Raw genomic sequence first — 25,374 nt, forward strand, 5'->3', positions numbered from 1 at the left:
AATGGCATTGTGTTTGTATATTATAGTGGCTCTGTTAATGTACTACGCACGCATCATTTTTAATCATAAAAGAATATTGAAAGACAATGTGAGTCGTTAATGACTGAGCAGGAAGAATGAATTTGCCCCACTCTACTCCACTAACATTCTTACTTAGAGATTTCAAAGACCTGAAAACAAGTAATCCACCCTCTGAACCACTGAGATCGCAATTCACAATCTCTCACTTGGCTGCTTCTAGCAAAGGGTAGAGTTCTCGACCTTCCATTCGCATTGTAACTTTTAATTTTATCATGTGCTTTGCCATCTAGAGATATGAGTGATTAATCTAGTTAGATTTTAAATAATGTTAACTCTAGATTTTCATTGGACTTTTGCATTTTAGCAGTGCTACTTTTTTTTGAGATGTTCCTTCTGAATATCTACTTGAATTTTCATTGTTTGACTTGAACTTCTGAAGAGTGTGCATTTAAAATTCTGTTCTTTTAGTTGTAAAGGAAAGCATTATTATCCTTTCTTCTGCTATTGATTACTAAAAATGATTTGGCTGCAGGAAATTTAGCACTGTAGAAGATTTCATTTCATAGTCTTTAACCAAAAATATACTAGAGAGATTTCTTTTCAAGATATGATGTCTGCAAGAGCTAAATCAGAAGCCCTCCCTGCATAGGTCAGATTTTTCCATTTCTAAGTTACTTAGGTCTTTTCCTTTTTGGAGGTCTTCTCTTCTGCAAAGAAACCAATAGTTGTTTGTGCTTTTACATTACAGAAGACATGTAACTAATGTGGCTAATCTGAACATTTTGGGGGCATGGTAATTACAAAGATTTATCTTGCTACTGAAATCTCAGAAGTTGAACATAATGAAAGCCCAGAACTAACTGGCACAGCTATCCTGGCACATAGAATAAGTTTGGTTGAAAAGAAAATCAACAGGGAGAAAACCTGAGCCGAGAGACAGAAAATGAGGTAGATCTCTAATGATATTGTTTGTACTCTTGGATTCAGCCATGCCTAAAGCAAGTTTACTCCTTGGACTTTGCAGCTATATAGGCCAATACATTTCTTCTTTTGCTTTAGCTAATTTGATTTTACTTTCTATTGTATGCAACTAAAATAAACATGGCAAATACATTACCTCATCTTCAATTTGCATGGTAACTGATAGAAAACATTTCAAATAACTAGGTAGCATAAACTATTCTGACACCATATTTATCTGACAGTCAGTAGCCAAAAGTGGGAAGGTATTGGCTTCAATAAAGTATTCTTTTATTTATTTTTTAGAAAGCGTGAAAAAAATAAAATCTGGAGTATTTTCGAAGAATGATATGGGTTAGGAATAACAATTCTTATTTATTTAATCCTCACATTTTTTGTAAATTCTGTGTAAGAATTGTCTTTTACAGTATTATTAATTTTTATATTTTCTTTTTAAGAAGTATTGTTTCTTTTTATAACCAAAGGTTGTATAACATCTGATTGTAGCCAGAATGCTAGCACTTATAACATGCAAGGAAAGTACCCAAACTTCACCTGGTGACAAAGTGCACACTTTTCAGGATTAAATAATTTATTCTTTTAAAAATAAAACTCTAAAGAATTATCATAATTGACCTTATATGTCTATATATTCTCTTGGTAATATTAGGTGATGTCTAGAGCAGTGATTTCCAAATGGGAGCAAAAGGATCCAAGGGAATGCTCAGAAATATGCAATGGGGTACAGAAAGAAGACATGTGAGTTTCTATATATATTTTTGTATTAGTAATTTTAAGTTTCACCTGTGTGTGTATGTTGCTTACAATAATCTAAGTAATGATGTGGTAACAATTTCAAAATTTCAATGGCTTAATATTGTAAAATATATTCATCTCTTATGGTCAGAAAAATGAGAGATAAATGTATTTTAGAGTTTTAAGCCACATTAGTTTGCCTAGGGCTTTGCTCCACACAGTTTCTCGAACAACCAGTACGACAGAGTCTCCATTATCCTGTAGATGCACTAACATGAGCTCATGGTGTTCCTCCACTTTGGAGGCCTGAAAAAGAAACACCGGGAAAATTCTGCAGGACATTTCACTACTCCACTGACTAAAAGGGCCAGGAAATATAGTCACCCATATGCCCAAAAAAGAAAAGAGCTGAATATTGGTGAGTACTAATAATGATTGCTATGGAATATATTTATTATATGAATAAATTTCAAATGCTAAATATGCAGGGTAAATGCTTTAAAAACTTTACTAGTATTATGTGTGATAAAAGAATATTTAGAGACTACAGAGTCACTCTTAGATACTTTCTTTATACTCTAGCTCTGGGTTCTTTTTTCTTCTATCAACTTTCATCTGCCTCTATAATTAGTTCTAATCATTACTATGGGTTTTCTTGTGTTTTCCAGTCTGCAGCCAACCTAATTTCTCCAAATGCTTCGTCTTCCTATTTTTTTGTCATTGATATTGATAATTTTAACAGGTAAAGGCTCAACTCGATAATTTCATAGCAAGTCTCCTTAAGCACAAGGAAAGAAAAGAGTAGAATGAATCCTTTACATGTCCGTGGTAGGCCAGCAATCTACCAAAACATGGTACATGTTCCACTAAAACCTAAATCGGGGCATTGAGGTGGCTGATGATGATAATATCCTTGACCCAGCTGCTAATTCAGAGAAATTTGTTCTCCATAAAGTTGCCATGGTGATGGAATGTTCCAGTCTACACAAGAGTTTTCTTTTTTCCCTTATGCTATGGACATCAACTTACACTATGCTGCAATTACTGAAATCGTGTATTTCAAAAGTCACCCCTTCGAATTCCTCAAAAAGAAACAATAAAACCTTTTAAAAGCCCCAAATTTTCTACTAAATATTTTGTAGAGGCTATAAACTTAGTCATTACATTGCATATATTATAGTGAAACACCTTAAAAATTCTTATTAAATATTTCTGTTCTCCAAGAACTCTCGTCAGTTCCATAACAGGTGGTCCTCCTCCACCCCCACCCACCCCATTCTTTCTTCCCCACGCGTTACCTGGACTTGACATCTCCTATCACCTTTTTACCAGAATTGCCACCAGAAAACTATTAATTCTTTTCTGGGAGGCAGTGGTATGAGGGAACTGAAGCTAGAAAACTCAGATTGGTAAAATAAATCTTACTGTAGTGTTTAGCAAAACAAATAACCTCTGAGAAATAATCACTTAAAACAGTTCAGGTATTATCAATTATTATGAAAACAAAAATGTGTCTTTTCTTAACTTTTACTTCAAGCATCTTATCAAATAATTTTTCCCAACAATTTCAATGCTTCTCAAATAGTTATTTTAGGCAATACAATTTCTACATATTATTACATGTATTGTTCAGTTTTCATTTTGATTTATCCATTATTTCTCAATTGTTTTTCAATTGTTGGTCTTGATCATAGATACCCCTGTCCCTGAATAAAGTGACTGAGTAGCAGGTAGATTGAAAATTTAATAATCTATTTAATATGGTATCTACAATGGTCTGTTCAGCTTTCATACTTCCCAAATTGCTACTAGTTTTCCACAAAAACATGCATTAGTGGTCTGTAAGAGGACCCACAACAAAGATTTTCTTATTCATGATCTAAGGGTTTGAAGCGAATTACTTCATTTGTGTTTCAATACAGAAAAATTAGTAAAAATTTTGAATCTGCAACTGTATAAAATAGCATAAACAAAGATTGCATATGTTGGATATAGTACCAAAAAGGATACTTTTGTTAGTATGAAATCATAGTTACATGTTGAGAGAAAATACAGCAAATGAGTTGAAAATGCATGTTCTGGAGCAATCTTTCCCTGTCTTTGCAATGAATAGTTAGCCTGTCCAAGGTTGCTTAATCTCCCTAATCTCAGTATCCTGAGCTAGAAATGGCAGTAATGGATCTCAGTGTGTTATTGTTACATTTAAAAAATCTATACCAGTCATATTAAAGCTTATTATTACTATTGTTTTGATTGTAGTTGTCATTATCGTTATTTTATAAAAAGTATTTCTATAATGTTTCTAAACTTCTTTTTTTCCATCTTAAAGTATTTAAGATTTGGTTTACTTATCTCAAAAAGAAGTGACTAAAAGTTCAATGGGAGAAATGATAGAAGCTAATTGTGATAAAACAGATAAAGTACATGGCACAATGGTGAGTAACTGCTGGCTATTTACTTATATTGTTAATCATATTATGTTTAAATATCTAATAGGTTTCATAAAATTATGCTTCATTATTTAGTTTAGGGAGAGGTAATACCCCATGAAGTTTCAGCATCCATAAAAGTTCTTTCTGGGTAAATCTAGAAGGCAATGCCTTAATCACTCTTTACCAGGAAAATTTCTCAGGGTTGTTTTTGCAGGGAAATTGTGAAAAAATAAGTAACACCTCTAATCCAATCTTAATTTTGTTTCCACCTATGAAAAAGTAGACTTCCTTTTGCTTTCTAAAAAGACGGTGGGAAACCACAAAATAAAAACTACAAAATGACCAGCTAACAACTTCATGATTAGGTCAAAACCTAATACATCAATATTAACCTTGAATGTAAATAGTCTACACACCTCACTTAAAAGGTACAGAGTAAGTTGGATAAAATAGCAAGACCCATCTGTCTGCTGTCTTTAAAAGACTCATCTCCTATGTAATAACACACCTAGGCTCAAAGAGTTGGAAAAAGATGTGTCAGGCAGATGGAAAACAAGAAAGAGCAGGGGTCACTACCTTCTATCAGATAAAACAGACTTTAAACCAACAATAGTAAAAAAGGAAAAGAATGGGCATTACATAATGACAAAGGGTTCAATTTAACAAGAAGACTTAACCATCCTTAGTACATATGCACTCAACATTGGAGCACACAGATTCATAAAACAAATAGGTCTAGACCTACAAAAAGACTTAGACAACCACACAATAATAGTGAGGGACATCAACAACCACTGATAGTGCATAGGCAGATCATTGAGGCAGAAAACTAACTAAGAAATTCTGAACTTAAATTTATACTTGACCAATTGGACCTAATAGACACCTACAGACTATTGCACCCATCAATCACAAAATATACATTAGTGTCTTCTGCACCTGAAGCATACTGTAAGATTGACCACATGCTTGGCTATAAAGCATGTCTCAGTAAATTAAAAAAAATCAAAATCATACCAACCACACTCTTGAACCAAAGTGAAACAAAACAGAAATCAATAACAAGAAGATCTCTGTAAACCACACAGTTACATGAAATTAAACAACTTGCTCATGAATGACTTTTGGGTAAAAAAGAAAATTAAGGCAGAAAGAAAACATTCTTTGAAATAAACGAAAACAGAGACAAACATACCAAAATCCCTGGGATGCAACATAGGCAGTGTTAAGAGCAAAATTTTTAGTCATAGATGCCTACATCAAGAAGTTAGAAAGATCTCAAATTAATGATCTAACATTACACCTAGAGGAACTAGAAAAGCAAGAATAAATTAACCCCAAAGCTAACAGAAGAAAAGAAATAACTACAATGAGAGTGTAACTGAATGAAATTGAGACTCAAAAATTCATACAAAGGATCACAAAACCAAAATTTATTGTTTGAAAGGACAAACAAGATCAATAGACCACTAGCTAGACTAACAAAGGAAAAAAGAAGATTGCCCAAGTAGAAACAACAAAGGTGACATTACAACTTATGTGACAGAAATACAAAAGATTCTCCAACACTGTTATGAACATACCAATGCACACGAAGTACAAATTCTAGCGGAAATTTATAACAAATTCCTTGAAATGCACAACTTTCAAAGATTGATACAGGAAGAAATTAAAGCCCTTAGCAGACTAATATTGAGTTCTGAAATTGCATCAATCATAAAAAACTACCAACAAAAAAGAGAACTTGACCAGAAGGGCTCAGAGCCAAATTCTACCAGATGTACAGAGAAGAGCTGGTACCAATTCTACTGAAACTATTCCAAAAATATCAAAGAGGAGGGCTCCTCCCTAAATCATTCTATGAATCCAGCATTACCTTGATAATAAAACCAGGCACAAACACAACAAAAAAAGAAAACTCAAAGCCAATATCCCTGATGAACATAGATGCAAAAATCATCAACAAAATATTAGCAACTGGAATCCAACAGAACATCAAAAAGTTAATTCACCACAATAAACTAGGCTTTATTCTTGGGATTTAAGATTGATTAAACATGCACAAGTCATTAAATGTGGTTCACCACATAAAGAAAATCAAATTTAAAAACCATATGCTCATCTCAATAGACATGGAAAACCCCTTTAATACAATTTAACATCCCTGCACGATAAAAATTCTCAGCACACTAGGCAGTGAAGAAACATGACTCAAAATAATAAGAGCTATCTATGAAAAACCAACAGCCAACATCATAATGGGTGGGCAAATGCTGGAAGCATTATCCTTAAGAATTGAAACAAGACAAGGATGCCCACTTTCACCACTCCTATTCAATATAGTACTGGAAGTGCTAGCCAAAGCAACCAGGCAAGAGAAAGAAATGAAAGGCATCCAAATAGAAAAAGCAATCAAACTATCTGTTTTGCTGATGATATGATTCTATACCTAGAAAACCCTAAAGACTTTGCCTAAAGTCTAATAAAATTGATAAACCATTTTATTAAAGTTTGGGGATACAAAATTAATGTAAAAAATCAGTGTTGTATCTATATACAAATAATGTCCAGGCTGAAATTAAAATCAAGAACATTTTTCAACAGCCACAAAGAAAATGAAATATCTAGGAATATGGCTAGCCAAGCAGGTAAAAGATCTGCACAAAGAGAACTACAAAACACTGCTGAAAGAAATCAAAGACAACACAAACAAATGGAAAAACAATCCATGTTCATGGATTGGAAGAATCAATATCATTAAGATGGCTATACTGCCCAAAACAACCTGTAGATTCAATGCTATTCCTATCAAAATATCGGTGTCATTTTTTATAGAATTAGAAAAAACTATTCTAAAATTCATATGGAATAAAAATGAACCAAGATAGCCAAAGAAATCCTGAGGAAAAAAAAAAAAGCTGGGTGTATCATATTACTTGACTTCAAATTATACTATAAGGCTTAAGTAACCAAAACAGCATGGTACTGGTACAAAGAGAGACACTTAAACCAATGAAGCACATTAGAAAACCCAGAAATAAAGCCCACACCTACAACCATCTGATCTTTGATGAATTCAACCGAAATAAGCAGTGGGGAAAGGACTTCCTCGTCAATAACTGGTGCTTGGATACCTGGCTAATCTGTCTGAAAGAATAAAACTGGACCCTTACCTTTCTGTGTATATAAAAATAACTCAAGATGGTCTAAATATTTAAAAGTAAGACCTCAAACTGTAAAAATCCTAGAAGAAAACCTAGGAACTACCATTCAGGACATCAGCTTTTGCAAATAATTTGTTACTAAGTCCTCAAAAACAATTGCAACAAAAGCAAAAATTGAGAAGTAGGGACTAATTAAAGGAGCTTTTGCACAGGATAAAAAAAGCTATCAGTAAACAATCAACAGAATGGAAGAAAATACTTGCAAACTATGTATCTGACAAAGATCTAATATCTAGAATCCATAAGGAACTTAAATATCTCATCAAGCAAAAACCAACCCCATTAAAAAATTGGCAATGAAAATGAACAGACACTTCTCAAAAGAAAACATACATTTGGCTTACAAACATATGAATAAATTCCAACATTACTAATAATCGGAGAAATGTGAATCAAAACCACAGTGACATATTATCTCACATAAGTCAGAATGGCTATTATTAAAAATACAAAAGCAACAAATGTTGATGAGTCTACAGAGAAGAAGGAATGCTTATACGCTCTTCATGGAATGTAAATTTGTTTAGCCACTGTGGAAAGCAGTTTGGAGATTTCTCAAAGAAGTAAAAATAGAACTACTATTCCACCCAGCAGTCCCAACAATGGGTATGTATCTAAAGGGAAATAAATTGTTCTACCAAAAAGACACACGCCCTTGTAAGTTTATTGAAGCACCATTCACAATAGGAAAGATATGAAATCAACCTAGGTGTCCACCATTCATGGATTTGATAAAGAAAAATTTGGTACATATACACCATGGAATACTATGCAGACATAACATAAAATGAAAACATATTTTTTTTCAGCAACATAGATGCAGCTAAAGGCCATTATCCTAAGCAGATTAATGCAGGAACAGGAAACCAAACACCACATGTTATCACTTATAAGTGGCAGCTAAACATTGGGTACTCGTGGACATACCAATGTCCACGGCAACAATAGACACTGCAGACAATTAGAGGTGGAATGAGGCAGTGGGAAATAACTGAAAAACTACCTATTGAGTACTATGTTCACTGCTTGAGTGACAGGATTAGTTGTATCCCAAACGTCAGTATCATACAATATACACACGTAACAAACCTGCACATGTATCCCCTTGAATCTAAAGCAGAAGTTGAAATTATTTTAAAAATTATAAAAATAAACAATTGAGAAAAAAATAAAATAAAATAATAAATACAATGATGGTGAATCCCCCAAGCTGTGTTTCTATCCTGCAACATATAACCAATTTCATGTGCAAGCATCCAAAATGGGCCCTTTGCATTTCCTTAGTAGGATTGGAGAGCATAGAGAACTGATGTAAATCAGCGTGAAGCTTTGGCTACTGTTGATGCCATGAGCAATAAAATCCCATGTCTCTGATCCAGGAGCCTCATGACTTCTGCTACCATTATTGAGATTGTGGCAGGCTAACCTATTTGCTTGTAAATAGGATAAAATTTCAAATCCTGCATCATTCTTGACATAGTCTAACTATAAGAAATATTATGAAATATTAGCTTTTCAAGAAATATCAAAATTAACAGAATAAGATGAGTAATTTGTGATTGATACACTGAAGATTTATCTCATGATTTTATGAACGTGGTATTTATAGTAAAGGAAATCCAGCAAATAATTACATAAAAGTGTATTATCTGCTGTTTTGATGAATGTGTGAAATTGATTCACCCTACTATCAACAATAATGCACACAAAGTTTTATTTAAAAAAAGCTAGGGAACTCTATTTTATGGCATTCTATCTAAGCTAAATTATTATCTGACCTAACTAGGAAAATGAAATCTTTGCTCAAACCCCTTCCTGACATTTTTATCTAAATCAAGAGGAAAGTTCCAAGGGTAGACCTCAGAGTTGAATCTGATAACTGACAAGTCTGTCTTATTATAAGACTTGAGATTGGTAGGAGAAATTTGACTCAGGAAACTGAACTTTTAAATTTTGAAGTGTGCTCTGTAGAACTAAAGTTTAGAAAATGCATATAAGAGACAGAAAGAAAGGTAAGGAATAATTACGAATGGAAAGAGCTACCTAGATAATTCCTTATTTTCATATTTCCTATGAATTAAGTTTACACATATTTTAAAAGTAGCATATTCAAGAGCAATTATTGAACTACTTTTCTGCCTTTGAATTCATGTTCAAGAGAAATATGGATGCACAATGTTTATGCTTGTGAATTCTGGTCAAGATATTGCTGTAACTATATGTGGAATTCCTCTCCACCTTGGTTCTAAATACCTAGCATGATAGTTGCAGTACTTTTACACCATATAGCTATCTCAGTGAACAAATGTTGAACTGAAACCCACAGCAATAAATGAAGCCTGAATGATAATTCCATGAAGTTTCTAGATCAAATTCTGGGGGAGGCAAACGGGGGACTGGCTCTATCAAAGTAAAAATTAATAAATTCCCCTGTTAGTCACAGCTGAAACACCCACAAAAGTAGATCCAAAAAAGTCACAGTCATTGCCTAGTGTTGCTACCTAGGAAAGCTGGAGGGAATAGAGATGTCCACACAACTGGGACCAAGGTAAGCCATATAGATTCAGGAACTATAACTCTGGCATCTCTACAAGATGTGAACTCTGTAACTCCAATATAAATATAAGATCCCAATTTGCAGGCTGGAAACAACTAGACACACATGGGTGAACATGGGAAATACAAAGTAAATATATGCCCATGCATACACAAACACCTATTCAAGATGAATTGGCATATCAAGGTCTAAAGCACAGAGAAAAAAACTAGTAACTTAAGAATACTATTTAAAAAACTCAGGGAGAAATAATTAACTTACGAAGGTATGCAGATAATGTAGTATTTTTTAAAAATGATTATAAAGTGAATCTACCTAAAATACTCAGAGAAATAAAATAAGAAGATCGTAAATCACCAACAGGAAACTATGGAACAAAACATAGGTATATATAAATCAGGAATGAGTTGACATGCAAAAGCACCAATTAGAAATTCTGAAAATTAAACATGTTATCATAAACAAGCAATAGATGTAATATATTTTAGAGGGGCCATAGAACAGAGAAAATTATTGAACTCTTAGATAATGTAACTTAGATCAATTTTGTTGATTTAGAGAAATATGATATCAAAAGCTCATGAATTTAAACAAAACCTCTGTTGAGAAATTATTAAATAATGTTAATCATGAGAGATTCTGTGTCCTACTAATGAAAATTGTGTCAATCTGCATAATTTTGCTTAGAGTCCTATAAAGTGTTCTTTTCAGGTTACCTGAACAAAGACTTATTTCAGAGGTAAAATAAAATTAAGCGAGGTTACTTCTTTGAAAATTATGGAGAAAAGACAACTCTTAATAATTGTATAAGATCAAGTAAAATTTTGCTTAATATTAGTAAAAATTCACAGGAAAAATAAAAAAATGACTATAAAGCTGCACTAATTCTTAAGTGCGAACTTAATACAAATATTCTCTTGCCTAGAAATATGAAAAATGTCATAAGCATTTATGACCACAGTAGGATGTTGGGAGGAAAATACCTCTGGTAATAATCTTTAGGAGCAAATGCACACTGTTAGTAATGATTGATGAAAAGTTTCCTCACAATCTGCTGAGAAAAAAATGTTAAAATGAAATTAAGTGTAGTTATAGAAAACAAAATTACATAATTGACATAACAGAGTTATTGGCCTGAGAGTCATACCTATTGCAATCTATTTCTTAGAGGCTCACTCCTGCAGATGCTTGGCTGGAACTTGTCAATGTTTCTATACATACAGGAAATGATAAACAGCACATATCAAGCCTGGCAAATACCTATGCTGAGAAAGAAATGCTGGTCCTCATCAAGGGAGAAGGAGCCAGAGCTAAAGGACAGGGTGTTGTCAAGTGATTTTGAGTATTTATGCAGAGCTAGATTTTTTTAGATAGCTTTCTCAGAATGTCTTATTTCAAAGTCAGTAAAATTTTAATTAACCTAATTTCCCCTGTTCTGATTTCATGTTCCCCCAGCAACTATCAATTTATGAAGCTCAATCAAATGGGCTTCAAATATTTATATCTCTTTGACACTGATTTCTAGAAGTGAATTTTTACTTTCAGTCCTGATTTTTTTCTTGATTCTCATGCAGTTCAAATACAGCAGTAGAGCTCATTGATTGTAAATATGTTGGTGTACCTACCAGTATAAATGCTTTATTTCTCACTGTAAGTTTGATGATTTAAAAATCTCTTATTTGCCTTAGTTTGTTGAGATGTTTTATTCAGCATGACTCAGTCCTCCAGCTCAGGCCTCATCACGCATGAACACTGATGAAATATGAATCTGAAACCCTAAAATGGTGTGACAAAATTGAGTTACTGTCTCATGAGATCCACCAAAGCTCAAACCAGTTTTCCTTGATACCATACTGCTCCCACTTGCTGATTCAGTCTACTAATTTATACCATCACTGTTTACAAAGAAGAACCCATGAAGTCACATTTAAGAATATGTGGTTGGTGACAGAGCTAGAGAAAATTGAACTAACATTCTATGGCAGGGGTCCCCAACTCCCAGGTCACAGAGCAGTACCAGTCCATGGCCTGTTAGGAATTGGGCTGCACAGCAGGAGGTGAGCACCGGCCAGCAAGTGAAGCTTCATCTGTATCTACAGCTGCTCCCTATAGCTTGCATTGCTGCCTGAGTTCCACCTCCAATCAGGTCAGTGGCATCATGAGATTCTCAAAGAAGCATGAACCCTATTGTGAACTGCGCATGTGAGGGATCTAGGTTGCACACTCCTTATAAGAATCTAACGCCTGATGATGTTACTGTCTCCCATCACCCCAAGATGGGACTGTCTAGTTACAGAAAAACAAGTTCAGGGCTTCCACTGATTATACATTATGGTGAGTTGTATAATTATTTCATTATATATTACAATATAATAATAATAGAAATAAATTGCACAATACATGTAATATGCTCGAATCATCCTAAAACCATCCCACCCTGCTCCCCATGTCTGTGGAAAAATGTCATCCATGAAACCAGTCCCTGGTGCCAGAAATGGTTGGGGACTGCTGATCTATGGAGTATCTGTTATATACAATACACTGCCTGCTATCCCATTCAGCTTATTCAGTTTAATCCTTCCTATTTCCTACATAAGTTTAGAGGGTTACATCACCAGTCTAACTAGAGAGCTGAGGGATTTGGATCATACTCACAGCTGCCATGCAGTATCTTCCCAGGGCACCTACAGCTGGGGTTAATAATGATGTGTGGCCCTTCTACTATCTATATTATAATCAATTTGAGTGCTGCTTAAACAAACAGATCCATGATGCACACACACCACCCCTCCCCAACACACACAGAACAACAGTAACAACAATAATGTCAACAACCAACTATGAAGTCAAAAACTTCAGGATGAGACCCAGGAATCTGCACATTTAACAAGAAACCCCAGGCAATTTTTGTACACATTGAAGTCTGACATCCACTGCTATAAAATTTACGTGTATCCCGTTGGAGAGAAAAAAAACCCAAAAAAACAAAAAACACAATGTGACAAAAACAGTCACTGTCACAATCCCTAGTTACCCTTCCTTCAGTTTTTCCTCTATATTTTCTGTTTTTTTTTTTTTTCCTTAACATCAGGCGTACATTGAGATTTCTTTCAGTCAGTCCTGACTTATAGCCCCTTTGTGGTTATGACTCATCCCAAACACTTTCAAACTGAACTGCAGCAAAATCAATAAATCAACGTAATTAAACCACTATCATAAAGAATATTACTCAACAGTATAAGAACTGTAACTACTCGCCCTAACATGTGTTTCTTTCTATTTCCTATCAGTCTAACTTAGAGAGCTGAGTGCAGACTCCTGGGTCTCATCCTGAAGTTTTTGACTTCATAGATGGTTGTTGATATTATTGTTGTTACTGTTGTTGTGTGTGTGTTGGGGAGGGGTAGTGTGTGTGCATCATGGATCTGTTTGTTTAAGCAGCACTGAAATTGATTATAATATAGATAGTAGAAGGGCCACACATTAACATTAACCCCAGCTGTAGGTACCCTGGGAAGCTACTGTATGGCAGCTGTGGGTATGATCCAAATCCCTCAGCTCTCTAGTTAGACTGATACAATTCTCAAGTGAACAGTTTCAGAAAATATCTTGATAGAATCTCAAGATGTACTTGAGCAACTGGTACACAGTAATGATGGCTGTGACTTAAGACTCTCTAGGGGCCAATCGTAGAGCTGCAAAAAATGCTTAAATCCAGGAAGGAAAACACAAAAGGAAACAAAACAAAAAAAAAAAGCGTTGGTGAGGAGTTTGCAAATGATCATGTGAGGCAGATAAACAGTTTCTCTCAATTTTTAAAAATCAACATATATTGAGCCTAGGCGGGCCAAAACAGAGATACTCCATTTTGAATCATGACAGGAATAGAAGGGCATGCGAAATTTCTCCAGCTTTTCTACCTTTCAGATTTTAAAAGTTGATTCACTTAAGCTGTTAATACAGTAGAAACAATCTACATGTATCTGGCATACTGAATTTTCTTCACCCAGATAATAGTGAATTCAATTTTGTCTTTCACGGCACACAGTTTAGAATTTCTCTGTCTGTACCTATTTTCCACTTGTCTCAGGATCTCAACTAAAAGTCATTTTGAACAATTATATAATGTAGATTCCAAACTTTTATAAAACTGCTTCAACACACCATTTTTAGGTGGTTTTCATTCTACCTTAAAACTAAGTTGCTACAGTTTAAAAGTGCACAAGGGCAGAGTGACAGCCCTATATACTATGGAAAGAATGAAACAGACAATGATAATAGCTTCTTTCAGCTAGAAAGCTGTACAATAGACTGTTCTTCTTTAGACATTACTGAAGGTAGACTGAAAAATATCACCTAAGTGAATTTTTGGTTTCTTAGCTTCACTGGACTTGATGAATTGACAAAAGCCCCAGATAATGGCTGATACGGAGAAAGAGTGGGAAAGTATGTCCGTAGATGGAAAGCATGACCCTGAATCAAAACTGTGAATGAGCCTGTGGGGACAGCTGGACACAGGAGAATGTTTTGCCCTCATTAGTGAGCAATTTCTTCTTTTGGACTGAACATACAGTCTATCTCCTTCTCAGCCTTAAGGGATTTCTAGAAAAAAAAAAAGGGTTAGTAATTGTGTGGTCTTCTCCATTACAAAGATGCTGATATTTCAAATTCAAAGGGTTACAATAAATGAGAGCTTGGGAGAGTGTATGCAAACCTGTTAGTAGAAAGGTAGAGCATTGCTTATGCCCTTGGTCTTGTCAGTTGTATCTACAACACGTAAGTAGTAAAGGGGTTGCTAAGCAACTTCTAACTTTTAACATTAAGTGTGCTCAGGGACTGCATACTGCAAAGGCACAGTATTGCCCATTGGTAGAAGAGGATGCCCTAAGTAAGATGAAGTGGAAGGTATCTCTTTATTGTCCTTTCAGTTTGTTGTTTGTGGAACAGGAAGCAAAAGAGAGATTCATGTTTTGGTTTGTTCTGGAAACTTATAGAACTCAAGAGTAGTAGAATGACTAAAATTATTTTTGTCATTCCTACATCTTGTTTTTCTTCATAACTATTATTTAGATTCTGCTCTCTCATCAGGAAGATTCCTTTTTTTCTTCTTTTCCTGAAATCAATCCCTGAGCCTCCATGGTGGCTGTGGAGGGACCTTTCACATAGCAACACCTTGATTCTTGTACACTGGGAATCTCCTTGCCCTTGGAAAGGCACTGTGACTCCTTAGTATTTTATTTCAAAAGAAGCTACCTTATACCTCAGGGGAGAACGATTTGAGACATTTAAACACCAGCAACAACAGAACCTGACACACAAATAAAATATTCTTCCTAAGCCCAAAGGATACAAAAATGTGTTCAGTATATTTAAGCTAACTAACTAAAGTTATCCTGCCTTGTTTTCTGAAGCTTTAGGCTCAACCCATTGAAGTGCTGACTTTTAGGGCTGTAGTAGCTGTCATCTCAGCAGCTGCTGCAGAGAAACCTGTACCAGCCCTCCTTAAAATCTACACTCAAAAAAGTAAGGCCCAAAGAGAGAAGACACTTACTCTCCAGTGTGCCCCAGGCTTACCTTGTGAATTCTGATTATTGTTTTAGGATTACACTTTTTTCTTGAATAACTGACAGGGGATCTGAAATGATGAATATATTACATGGAGATCCTGGGTCCCAATTCCCAGGAAAGTGATCTACCTGCTACCTCAACAAGCCAACCATATCAGAATGCAATACAACATTCCTAAGGCAAGTATGTGCATGTGCTAGGAGTTTAGTGGATTAAACATTCCTTTTCTCTGCATGAGAATTTCTCATTAATACTTCTTTATGGATAGAAGGCAAGAACAGAATCAATAAACAGCGCAAAATCAAGGCACCACCCTAGAGTTCTGTCTTTCCTTTATCCTTATAGCCACTTTTCTATATCTACATTCACTACAAAATCAGCCCCTCGATATCCAATACAGGCCATGTAAGGTATTCCAAAAATTAAAACTCAATTGCGAGAGACACTGAAGGACAAAGAATTTTCCACAGTGCTTCCTGAGCCTTTCTCCCATGCCCTTGTATATAATCTCAACTCCTAACTGCTTTAGTTCAACACTGTTGACAAAAGTCTTATTGCCTAAACAATAACGGATCTGCACAATCCCTTTCTTTTCGAGAAATATCTATGACAAACATCAACTTCAGCTCACCCCTCCTGTTAAACCTCCTTAAAACACTCTGCCCTCCTGCTCCAAGTATGAATGTTCATTTGGAGCCTTCTCATGCCTGGCATTTTCAATAAAAGCTTATGTTAATAGGGCTTGATTGATTTTCTTCCACACAATTTATAAAATACACGCTTAACATTTTACTCTCTTAGAATCAACATCATGATGACTTTGCAAATCTTCAATGTCACACTCTGTATTATTCTCAAATAATATTGTGAGTCCCCTGTTTTCAAATGTATACTTGGCCTCTTTTCAAACATATATGTTAGCTTCCTTTTAAAATAGCCTTTTAGAGTTCATTTGCTAGCCAGTACCAGATGCTCTAAAATTGGGGACTGCAAAGTAATTTCAGAAGGAGTGAAATTTGGTGTCCTACCCAGATTTCTAAAAGAGAAGCTGGAAAAATCATGTGTTAATGAGAGTCATGTGGTAGATGCCCAATTCTTGGCTAGAGGAAGTCATTTTTTCCTGTATGCAGATCCCCAGCAAATACTACAATACATTTTCAAATAAATAGTATATGGGTCTGTTTCCCCATAACCACCATTGCTGACTACCTAATCTGACACCATTGTTAACTGGAAATACAACTATTTCCTTCTAATTGCTATCCCTATGTCCTTATTAGCCTCAAACAATCTATTCTTTTCATAGAAGCCAGAGCATTCTTTCAAAAATGTAAGCAGAATGTGCCACTCTTCTGCTTAAACTCCCAAGACTTTACTCCACAGTGCCGTTTTTGATTTCTGAAAACACCTTGTTCTCTCCTTGCCCTTGTTGCTTCCTTGGTGTCCTTGCTCTCACCTCCTCCCAAGATTGTCTTTTTCTCATCATTTAGGTCTCTGCTTAAAAAGTCTCTTTTTAAGAGATGCTTCTTAGAACACAGAATCTAAGCTCTACCTCTCCCATCAATACTCTTCATCACATTGTCCTGTTCTATTTATTGAGCTTACGTTTTGGAGTACTTAATAATATTTTAATTTATTCTATTCATTTTTACTTGTTTGCTAGTTTTCTGGACCACACCAATCATTTATGCTACACAGAGCAAGGAACTTATTTGTCTTGTCAACAGTGGTAACTTCAGTTATGTAGAATAGACTTGACATATAGCCATATAGTGGGTACTCAGTATAATTTCTGTTTATTTTTAATTTTTTTATGTGTAGTTTTTACTTTGCGATAAGAATATATGGAATTTCTCTTCTCTGAAACTCCCTTATTCTGTAACTTCAGCTTTTTATGTTCTTATTTGTTATTTTCTTCCTGTTGATAGAATTTTGTCCACGTTTGTGTTTCTTATAATTTAAGCTTTTTTTATAATTATAGATTCTATTTTACTTTTATTTGCTTATTTTCATTATTATTATAATAAATATTAACTACTTATGTAGAGCTTATAATATACTAGGAAGTTGATATGTATTGGCTCTGCACCCCCACCGAAATCTCACCTTGAATTGTAATAATCCCCACGTGTTGTAGGAGGGACCTGGTGGGAGGTAACTGAATCATGCAGATGGGTTTTTTCTCATGCCTTTCTTGTGATAGTGAGTAAGTCTCAAGAGATCTGATGGTTTTGTAAAGGGAAGTTTCCCTGTATATCACCTTTGCCTGCCGCCATGTAAGATGTGACTTTGATCCTCATTTGCCTTCTACCATGATTGTGAGGCCTTTCTTGCCATGTAGAATTATGAGTTAATTAAACCTCTTCCCTTTATAAATTACCCAGTCTCAGGTATGTCTTTATTAGTAGTGTGAGAACAGACTACTACAGTAAATTGGTACTGGGTAGTGGGACACTGCTGTAAAGACACCTGAAAATGTGGAAGCAACTTTGGAACTGGGCAACAGGCAGAGGTTGCAACAGATTGGAGGGCTCAGAAGACAGAAACATGTGGAAAAGTTTGGAACTTCTTAGAGACTTGTTGAATGGTTTTGACCAAAAAGCTAATAGTGTTATGAACAATAAAATCCAGGCTGAGGTGGTCTCATAGGGACATGAAAAACTTGTTGGGAGCTGGAACAAAGGTCACTCTTCCTATGCAAAGAAACTGGTAGCGTTTTGCCACTGTCCTAAAGATCTGTGGAACTTTGAACTTGAGAGAAATAATTTAGGGTATCCATTGGAAGAAATTTCTAAGTAGCAAAGTGTTCAAGAGGAAGTAGAGCATAAAAGTTTGAAAAATTTGCAGCCTGAAATGCAGTAGAAAAGAAAACCCCATTTTCTGGGGAGAAATTCAAGCCTTCAGCAGACATTTGCATAAGCAACAAGGAGCCAAATGTTAATTGCCAAGGTGACAGTCCCCAACCCCCATCATAAGCTCAGACGCCTAGGAGGGAAAAATGGTTTCCTGGGCTGGGTCCAGGGACCCCTGCTGTGTGCAGCCTACGTACTTGGTCCCCTGCATCCCAACTGCTCTAGTCATGGCTAAAAGAGACCAAAGTGTATCTTGGGACATGGCTTGAGAGGGTGCAAGCTCCAAGCCTCAGCAGCTTCCACATGGTGCTGAGCTTGTGGGTACACAGAAGTCAAGAATTGAGGTTTGTGAACCTTTGCCTAGATTTCAGAGCATGTATGAAAACACCTGGATGTTCAGGCAGAAGTGTGCTACAGTGGTGGTGCCCTCATGGAGAACCTCTGCTAGAGCAGTGCAGAGGAGAAATGTAGGGTCGGAGCCCCCACACAGAGTCCCCAATGGGGCACTGTCTATTGGATCTGTGAGAATGGGGCCACCGTCCTCCAGACCCTAGAATGGTAGATCCACTGACAACTTTTGTCATGCACCTGGAAAAGCCACAGACACTCACTGCCAGCACATGAAAGCAGCCAGGAGGGTGGCCGAATCCTGCAACTGCACAGGAGCGAAGCTGCCCAAGGTCGTGAAAATCCACATCTTGCATCAGCATGACCTAGATGTGAAACATGGAGTCAAAGATTATTTCCAAGTTTTAAGATTTGACTGCCCCGCTGGATTTCTGACTTGCATGGGGCCTGTAACCCTTTGTTTTGGCCAACTTATCTCATTTGGAATGGGTATATTTACCAATGCCTGTACCCCAGTTGTATCTAAAAAGTAATTAACTTGTATTTGATTTTACAGGCTCCTAGATGGAAGGGACTTGCCTCGTCTGCAATGAGATTTTGGACTTGGACTTTTGGGTTAATGCTGGAGTTAGTTAAGACTTTGGGGGACTGTTGGAAGGCATGATTGTTTTTGTTTTGTTTTGTTTCTTTGAGACAGAGTCTCACTCTGTCACTCAGGCTGGAGTACAGTGGCATGATCTCAGCTCACTGCAACCTCTGCTGCCCTGGTTCAAGGGATTCGCCTGCCTCAGCCTCCTGAGTAGCTGGGATTATACATGCCTGCCACCACACCCAGCTAACTTTTGTAATTTTAGTAGAGACAGGGTTTCACCATCTTGGTCAGGCTGGTCTTGAACTCTTGACCTTGTAATCCACCTGCCTTGGCCTCCCAAAGTGCTGGGATTACAGGCGTGAGCCACCGTGCCTGGCTGATTGTGTTTTAATATGTGAGGACATGAAATTTAGGAGGGGCCAGGGGTGCAATGATACGGTTTGGCTCCATTTCCCCACTCAAATCTCACCTTGAATTGTAATAATCCCCACATGTCATGGAAGGGACCCAGTGGGAGGTAATTGAATCATGGGAGCAGATTTTTCTTGTGCTTTTGTCATGATAATGAATCTGTCTCATAAGAGCTGATGGTTTTATAAAGGGAGTTCCCCTGCACATGCCCTCTTGCCTGATACCATGTAAGACATGACTTTGCTGCTCATTCACCTTCCGCAGTGATTGCGAGGCCTCTCCAGCCATGTGGAACTGTGAGTCAAACCTCTTTCCTTTATAAATTACTCACTCTCAGGTATGTGTTTATTAGCAGTGTGAGAACAGACTAATACAGAAGTATTCTAAACACTTCACAAATATTAGCTTATTTATTAACATCCTCTTGTGTTAGTGCATAGATACTATTATTGTCCTTATTTTACATACAGAGAAACTGAGGCACAAAGAGGATAGTTAAGGTTCATAATCACATAGCAAATAGAAGAGTCAGGATTTAAACTCAAATCTGGGTAATCTGGAATCCAGAATACAAACTCTTAAATGAATACATAAATCGAAACCCCAAAATGATATATATTTAAAATATTTTCTCACATATGATTCAATATTTTCCTTTTCAACCATGCTCTTCTGAGAATTTTTATGTTTTAAACAAAGGACATTCGTTTCTTAAGGGGTAAAAATATGGCTTAGAATAAAATGGACCTTAGAATGGGCTAGGATCCATTCTTTAATCTGGACCCTAACACTTTGGGAATCTAAGGAATTACAATAATTTCGAACCTAAGCCTTTAAGAAATAAGATGTTTTCTAAATTCTCAAGCTCATTTTTACTAAATCACATACTAAAGAGATGTTCCCTGTGCTATGGTGGAAATTGGTTGAGAAATATGACCTAGGAATATTATCATTCCAAAAGTAAAGCTTCCAGAAAATTTTATTTTGGTAGATGAGGATTAGAGGAACAAGAAGAAAATCATAACATTAGGGCCAATGCCAATTGCAAAGTCCTGTATTCAATGCAGCATTCTGAGGTATAGAGGGGTAAGAGCTAAGGAAGATGTATAAGTTGTTGAGCTGGAGAGTAGCCCCCAGAACCTGCAGACATCATCATGATGCACAAAAACAAGCGGAGAGATTCTAGACTTCTGGGGATCATGGAATATTTGAAGAAAACCGGGAGACTAGAAGGGTCTGGAATCACAATAGAGGGATTGCGACTGGACATTTTGGTGCTTGTCTATGGCAGGTGGGAACAAGCTGCTCACAAGAAACAGGCAAGACCAGCTAAGCTTCAGTGGAAATCAAAGTTGAACACCAAGAGTAGAGGTCAGAGCAGACCTTAATCCTGTGGAGACTCGTTAAGTCCAGAGGACAGCAGTTGTACCAAATGTGTCTCTAGCCAATCACATTGACACAAACATCCTTTGGCATCCAGGTTCAAGGAGGACAAAAGATGAGCTTTATAGAAAGAGGAATACCTAATAGGATGGGAATGTTGGCTTTGTTTTTTGTTTTTGTTCTTTATTGTATGAACAGTTTGAGTTAAAAAAAAAGATTAAATTTTAACTTGGGCAAGCTGACAATAATAGAAACTCAAGAGAATTTGAAATTTTCCTGTAATAAATAAAGAGGAATATATATATATACACACACACACACACGCATATATATATATGCACACACAAGATGAAGTGTGGGCACATTTGCAATTCTGTTATCTAAGAGAAGAAAGACTAAGAAGCACAGAGGATTGTGAGTAAAAAGAGGAAGCAATCATCAAGGCTTCCTTTTATATTATATTGAAGGAAATGCTGAGTAACTTTAGACACAGTGCAAAATATTCTAGCAATTTAAAAAGATCAATATGAAGATAGAGTCATGCATGTAAAATTTGCTGAGATATATTGGCTATATGACCAAATTTCATTCCCATGTGAAAGAATATATTTGGAAAGCAATGAAAGTCTATACACAGAAATAGCCATTTCCATTCACTGGAGGACCAAGGAAAAATTAATTACAAGGTCTGAGAAAGTGTTAATCTGCCATAGTGCTTTTGCTGTCTATAAAAATGGCAACATAGGTTTGTTACTAACTTGTACATTTGGCTGACATATTATCGAATAATTTTGCAAGTAAATCTCACCATTCAAGTCTCTCTAAAGGGAAAGAATAAAGGAAGGTATTTATAGTCTTCTTGCAATGGTTCGGTGGAAAAGAAAAGGCTACATGTCTTCCATTCGGCTTTAGAGAGAGAGTTCTGTGAATAGAAAATTGGCTCTTTTCCTAATTACTCTCCTGGAATCAGCTGCTGAGTACAACTCCATAATCTACACCATCCAACAAAAGACATGGCAAAGGTTAAGTGATTTTGTCCTATATCCAAGATAGCTTTCATATAGCTTCATTGTTCCTTCAATGAATTGAGTCATTCACTGAAAATGCACACTTTTACTGTGTTCCAGATTTATTATCTAAGGTATTAATCTCCACTTCACCAAACTGAAATACAGAAGGAAAATGTAAACCACACCAAAGTGAACAACTGTAGCATCCTGTTGTTTAACCAATCGCTTATGTTTGGCCAGAGGCATCAATGAAAGAGACAATGAAAAAAGAGAATAAGTAAAAACTTCAAATGTTGTGTGGTATTAGCATATATTATTCTCATCCCAAATGGCAATCTTTACCTTTAAGTCCCAATAACTAAAGGAAAATTACTTGAACTGGTGGTACACACATTTAGGTTTACATCTTAAGTGAAAGCTGATATGTAAAACCTCTAACCTTTATTTCTCTGATAATTGTAATATGTATTTTTTTAAATAAATTCAAGCCAAATTCCTAAAAGCAGAATCATGGAGATATCACAGAATGTATGGTTCAGATTCTTCAACATGTTTAAAATAATTTAGTTTTATTCAAAAGCCAGCATAACTGTAGATAGTCTGATTTCACCACTGATATGATATTGATCAAGCTTTTTGAATAAGGTTGCTGGCATTGTCACCACAGAACAAATAACGTAGGGGCTGACAGGATTAAATTCACTAAATGTTGTCAATGCAATTCCTGACAGCTGTATAATTGAATAACATCTGGATACCAGACTATACTCTTGTCTTTCTTGTTGAGGTGTGTTTGCCATATAGCTCATCCTTTTACCAGTAGTCCAATCATGTACATCAACTCAGCGAATTTATTGCTTCTGCCTGGGACACAGTGATTTCCAAATGTACCATTTTTATAATTGTTTTCTAGGCCTGAAGGCATGACGAGGCGCCGGCAATGCCTTTCTAGTAGCTTATTACTTTTTCCTTGTAGGATTCACTGTTTCTGACTGGGTTAGCACTTTCTGTCTAACACTTTACTGTATCATACAGTATGCTAGGTCTCAAGCCATATTGGAGCCAACAAGAAAAAAAAGAAAAGAAAAAAAAAACGATGAAATGCAGCTAAACAGTTTTACTGACTGACATCTTCTTGTCTCTTTTCATTCACAGAGTGTGAACCCCTGGAGTTTTACAATCATTTGAAATTCAAAGGCAAATGCTGAGAGCACACCATCATGAGAATTGGCACCAATGAAAAAGTTTGTCAAAATCACTCTGGCACTAAACCACTGAATGTTTTCAACACAAATGGAAAGCTGACATCATTTATAGACAACTCATGGACCAACACAAAGGAAAAAATGTCAGATCCAGTGAATTTCTTTTCTTGTAATTACTGTATGATTTCAACATTGGCGTCTGTAAGAAATACTATTTTCCTCTGAAGTGTTTTCTGTAGCATTATTTTGTTTACCATGGGAGGTTTGTCTTCTCCCATTTTCCTTAGAAGTTGAACACACATTTTCAAAGCCTGCTAGTGATTTTGAATTTCAAAAGCGATTACAAGCATGATTCATGCAATATGACTCATCCCTCTCAAATGCTCTAATTGTATAAACTATATCCTTCAAAGCGTCTTATGGACACATTAAATATTAGTAAACACATTTTCAAGTGCCAAAAGGTATGGTTCCTTCACACTTGCTGATAAGACTGTAATTGATCCTCTAATTTCCATGTATGATTCAAAATAAAGCTAAGACTGTGGTAAGTCTCGCATTTTTAACATTAAACTTGAACACACCAGTTCTGCCACTGCAGTAGCCACATCTTGATTCTTAACAGCAGTCACCTTCACCTCCATAATTTCCCTTTTGTTGCTTCAAATTATTTGTTGTACTAAGCACACTTTCTCTACCAATAAATTCATGCCTCTTATTACAGTGTAAGTTTCCATCTCTTAGTAATTTGAAGAATAAACGGTCATTTTCCAAACCATCTAAAGAAGACCTCTTCAAGTCACTATCATATTATATTACTCACTTTTATTTTGCTCAGGACAGTGTACCGACAGTCTTCCATCATTAAACTTAAAATTTCATCAGGGCAGGACCCTTTTTTTAAAAAAAAAAAAGTTGATTTAACTTTATTTTTAAATTCATAAGAAATAATTGAATATATTTATAGTATACAGCATGATATTTTGATATATGTATATGTTTTGGAATTGTTAATTCAAGCTATTTAACATGTGCATTATCTCATAGAAGTATCTATTTTTGTGGTGAGAACACTTAAAATTTACTCTCTAAGCAATTCTCAAATATACAATATATTGTCATTAACTGTAGTCAACAAGATGTGCAATCGTTTTTTGGAATGTATTTATTGTGTGTAACTGAATATTTGTGTTGTTTGATTAATATCCTCCCATTCCTTCCATCCCCTAGCCTTTAATGACTACTATTTTACTTTCTGTTTCTATGAGTTTGATTTTTTTTACATTCCATATGTAAATGAGATTATGCAATATTTGTTTTTCTGTGCCTGGCTTCTTTCACTTAGCATAATGTCTTCCTGGTTGATCCATGTTTTTTCATATGACAGAACTTCCTTCTTTTTTAAGGCAGAATAGAATTGTATTGTTTACACACACACACACACACACACACACACACACACACACACACACAGTCTTTAACCATTCATCTGTTGATAGACACTTAGTTGATTCCATTCCCTGGCTATTGTGAACAATGCTGCAATGAACATGGGAATGAAGATATCTCTTTGACATTCTGATTTCATATGAAACAGAACTCTTTTGTATCATGTTCAAAACTGTATCTGCCTTCTTTTCTCTGCCCAGGATGTAAAAAAAGTGGCTGATACTTAGATGATACTTGGAGAATATTTGTTAAATGAATAAATAAATAATGAATCCACTGTTGAGAATGAGATTAGTCAACTAAAGTCTTATCCACAGACAATGTTCTGAGTTGAGACTGATTGTGGTTAGGGGCCATGGAAGGTGATTTTACTTCACCATTCTTAACAGCATAGCCATATGAAAGGCAACATTCAAATAAACTTGACATCAGTATGATTTTGGGGACTTTCTCTAACATTATTCATCCATATAGGAGACAGGAGATATTAAAGGTAATGACCAATTTTTGATCAGACAGTCAGAAGTACTATGAGTAGCCCACAAGAGCCGTATCTAGAAAGAATATAATGCAAGTCCCAAATATGAGGCACAAGTATAATTTAAA

The 25,374-nt window shown here is 35.8% G+C and overlaps 1 protein-coding gene and 1 long non-coding RNA gene across 5 annotated transcripts in view; one reads left to right on the forward strand and one right to left on the reverse strand.

The window, feature by feature from the left end:
- LRRTM4 (leucine rich repeat transmembrane neuronal 4) overlaps positions 1-25,374 on the reverse strand; it is a 774,692-nt gene that overhangs the window by 238,070 nt on the left and 511,248 nt on the right. The gene's annotated exons all lie outside the window — the stretch shown is intronic.
- Positions 211-24,034, forward strand: LRRTM4-AS1 (LRRTM4 antisense RNA 1). Its single transcript, NR_110284.1, has 4 exons — positions 211-247; positions 1,652-1,740; positions 4,067-4,172; positions 23,270-24,034. It is a non-coding gene; the product is annotated as an LRRTM4 antisense RNA 1 (long non-coding RNA).

This window comes from Homo sapiens, chromosome 2 (assembly GCF_000001405.40).
Source record: "Homo sapiens chromosome 2, GRCh38.p14 Primary Assembly".
NCBI classification, from domain to species: Eukaryota; Metazoa; Chordata; class Mammalia; order Primates; family Hominidae; genus Homo; species Homo sapiens.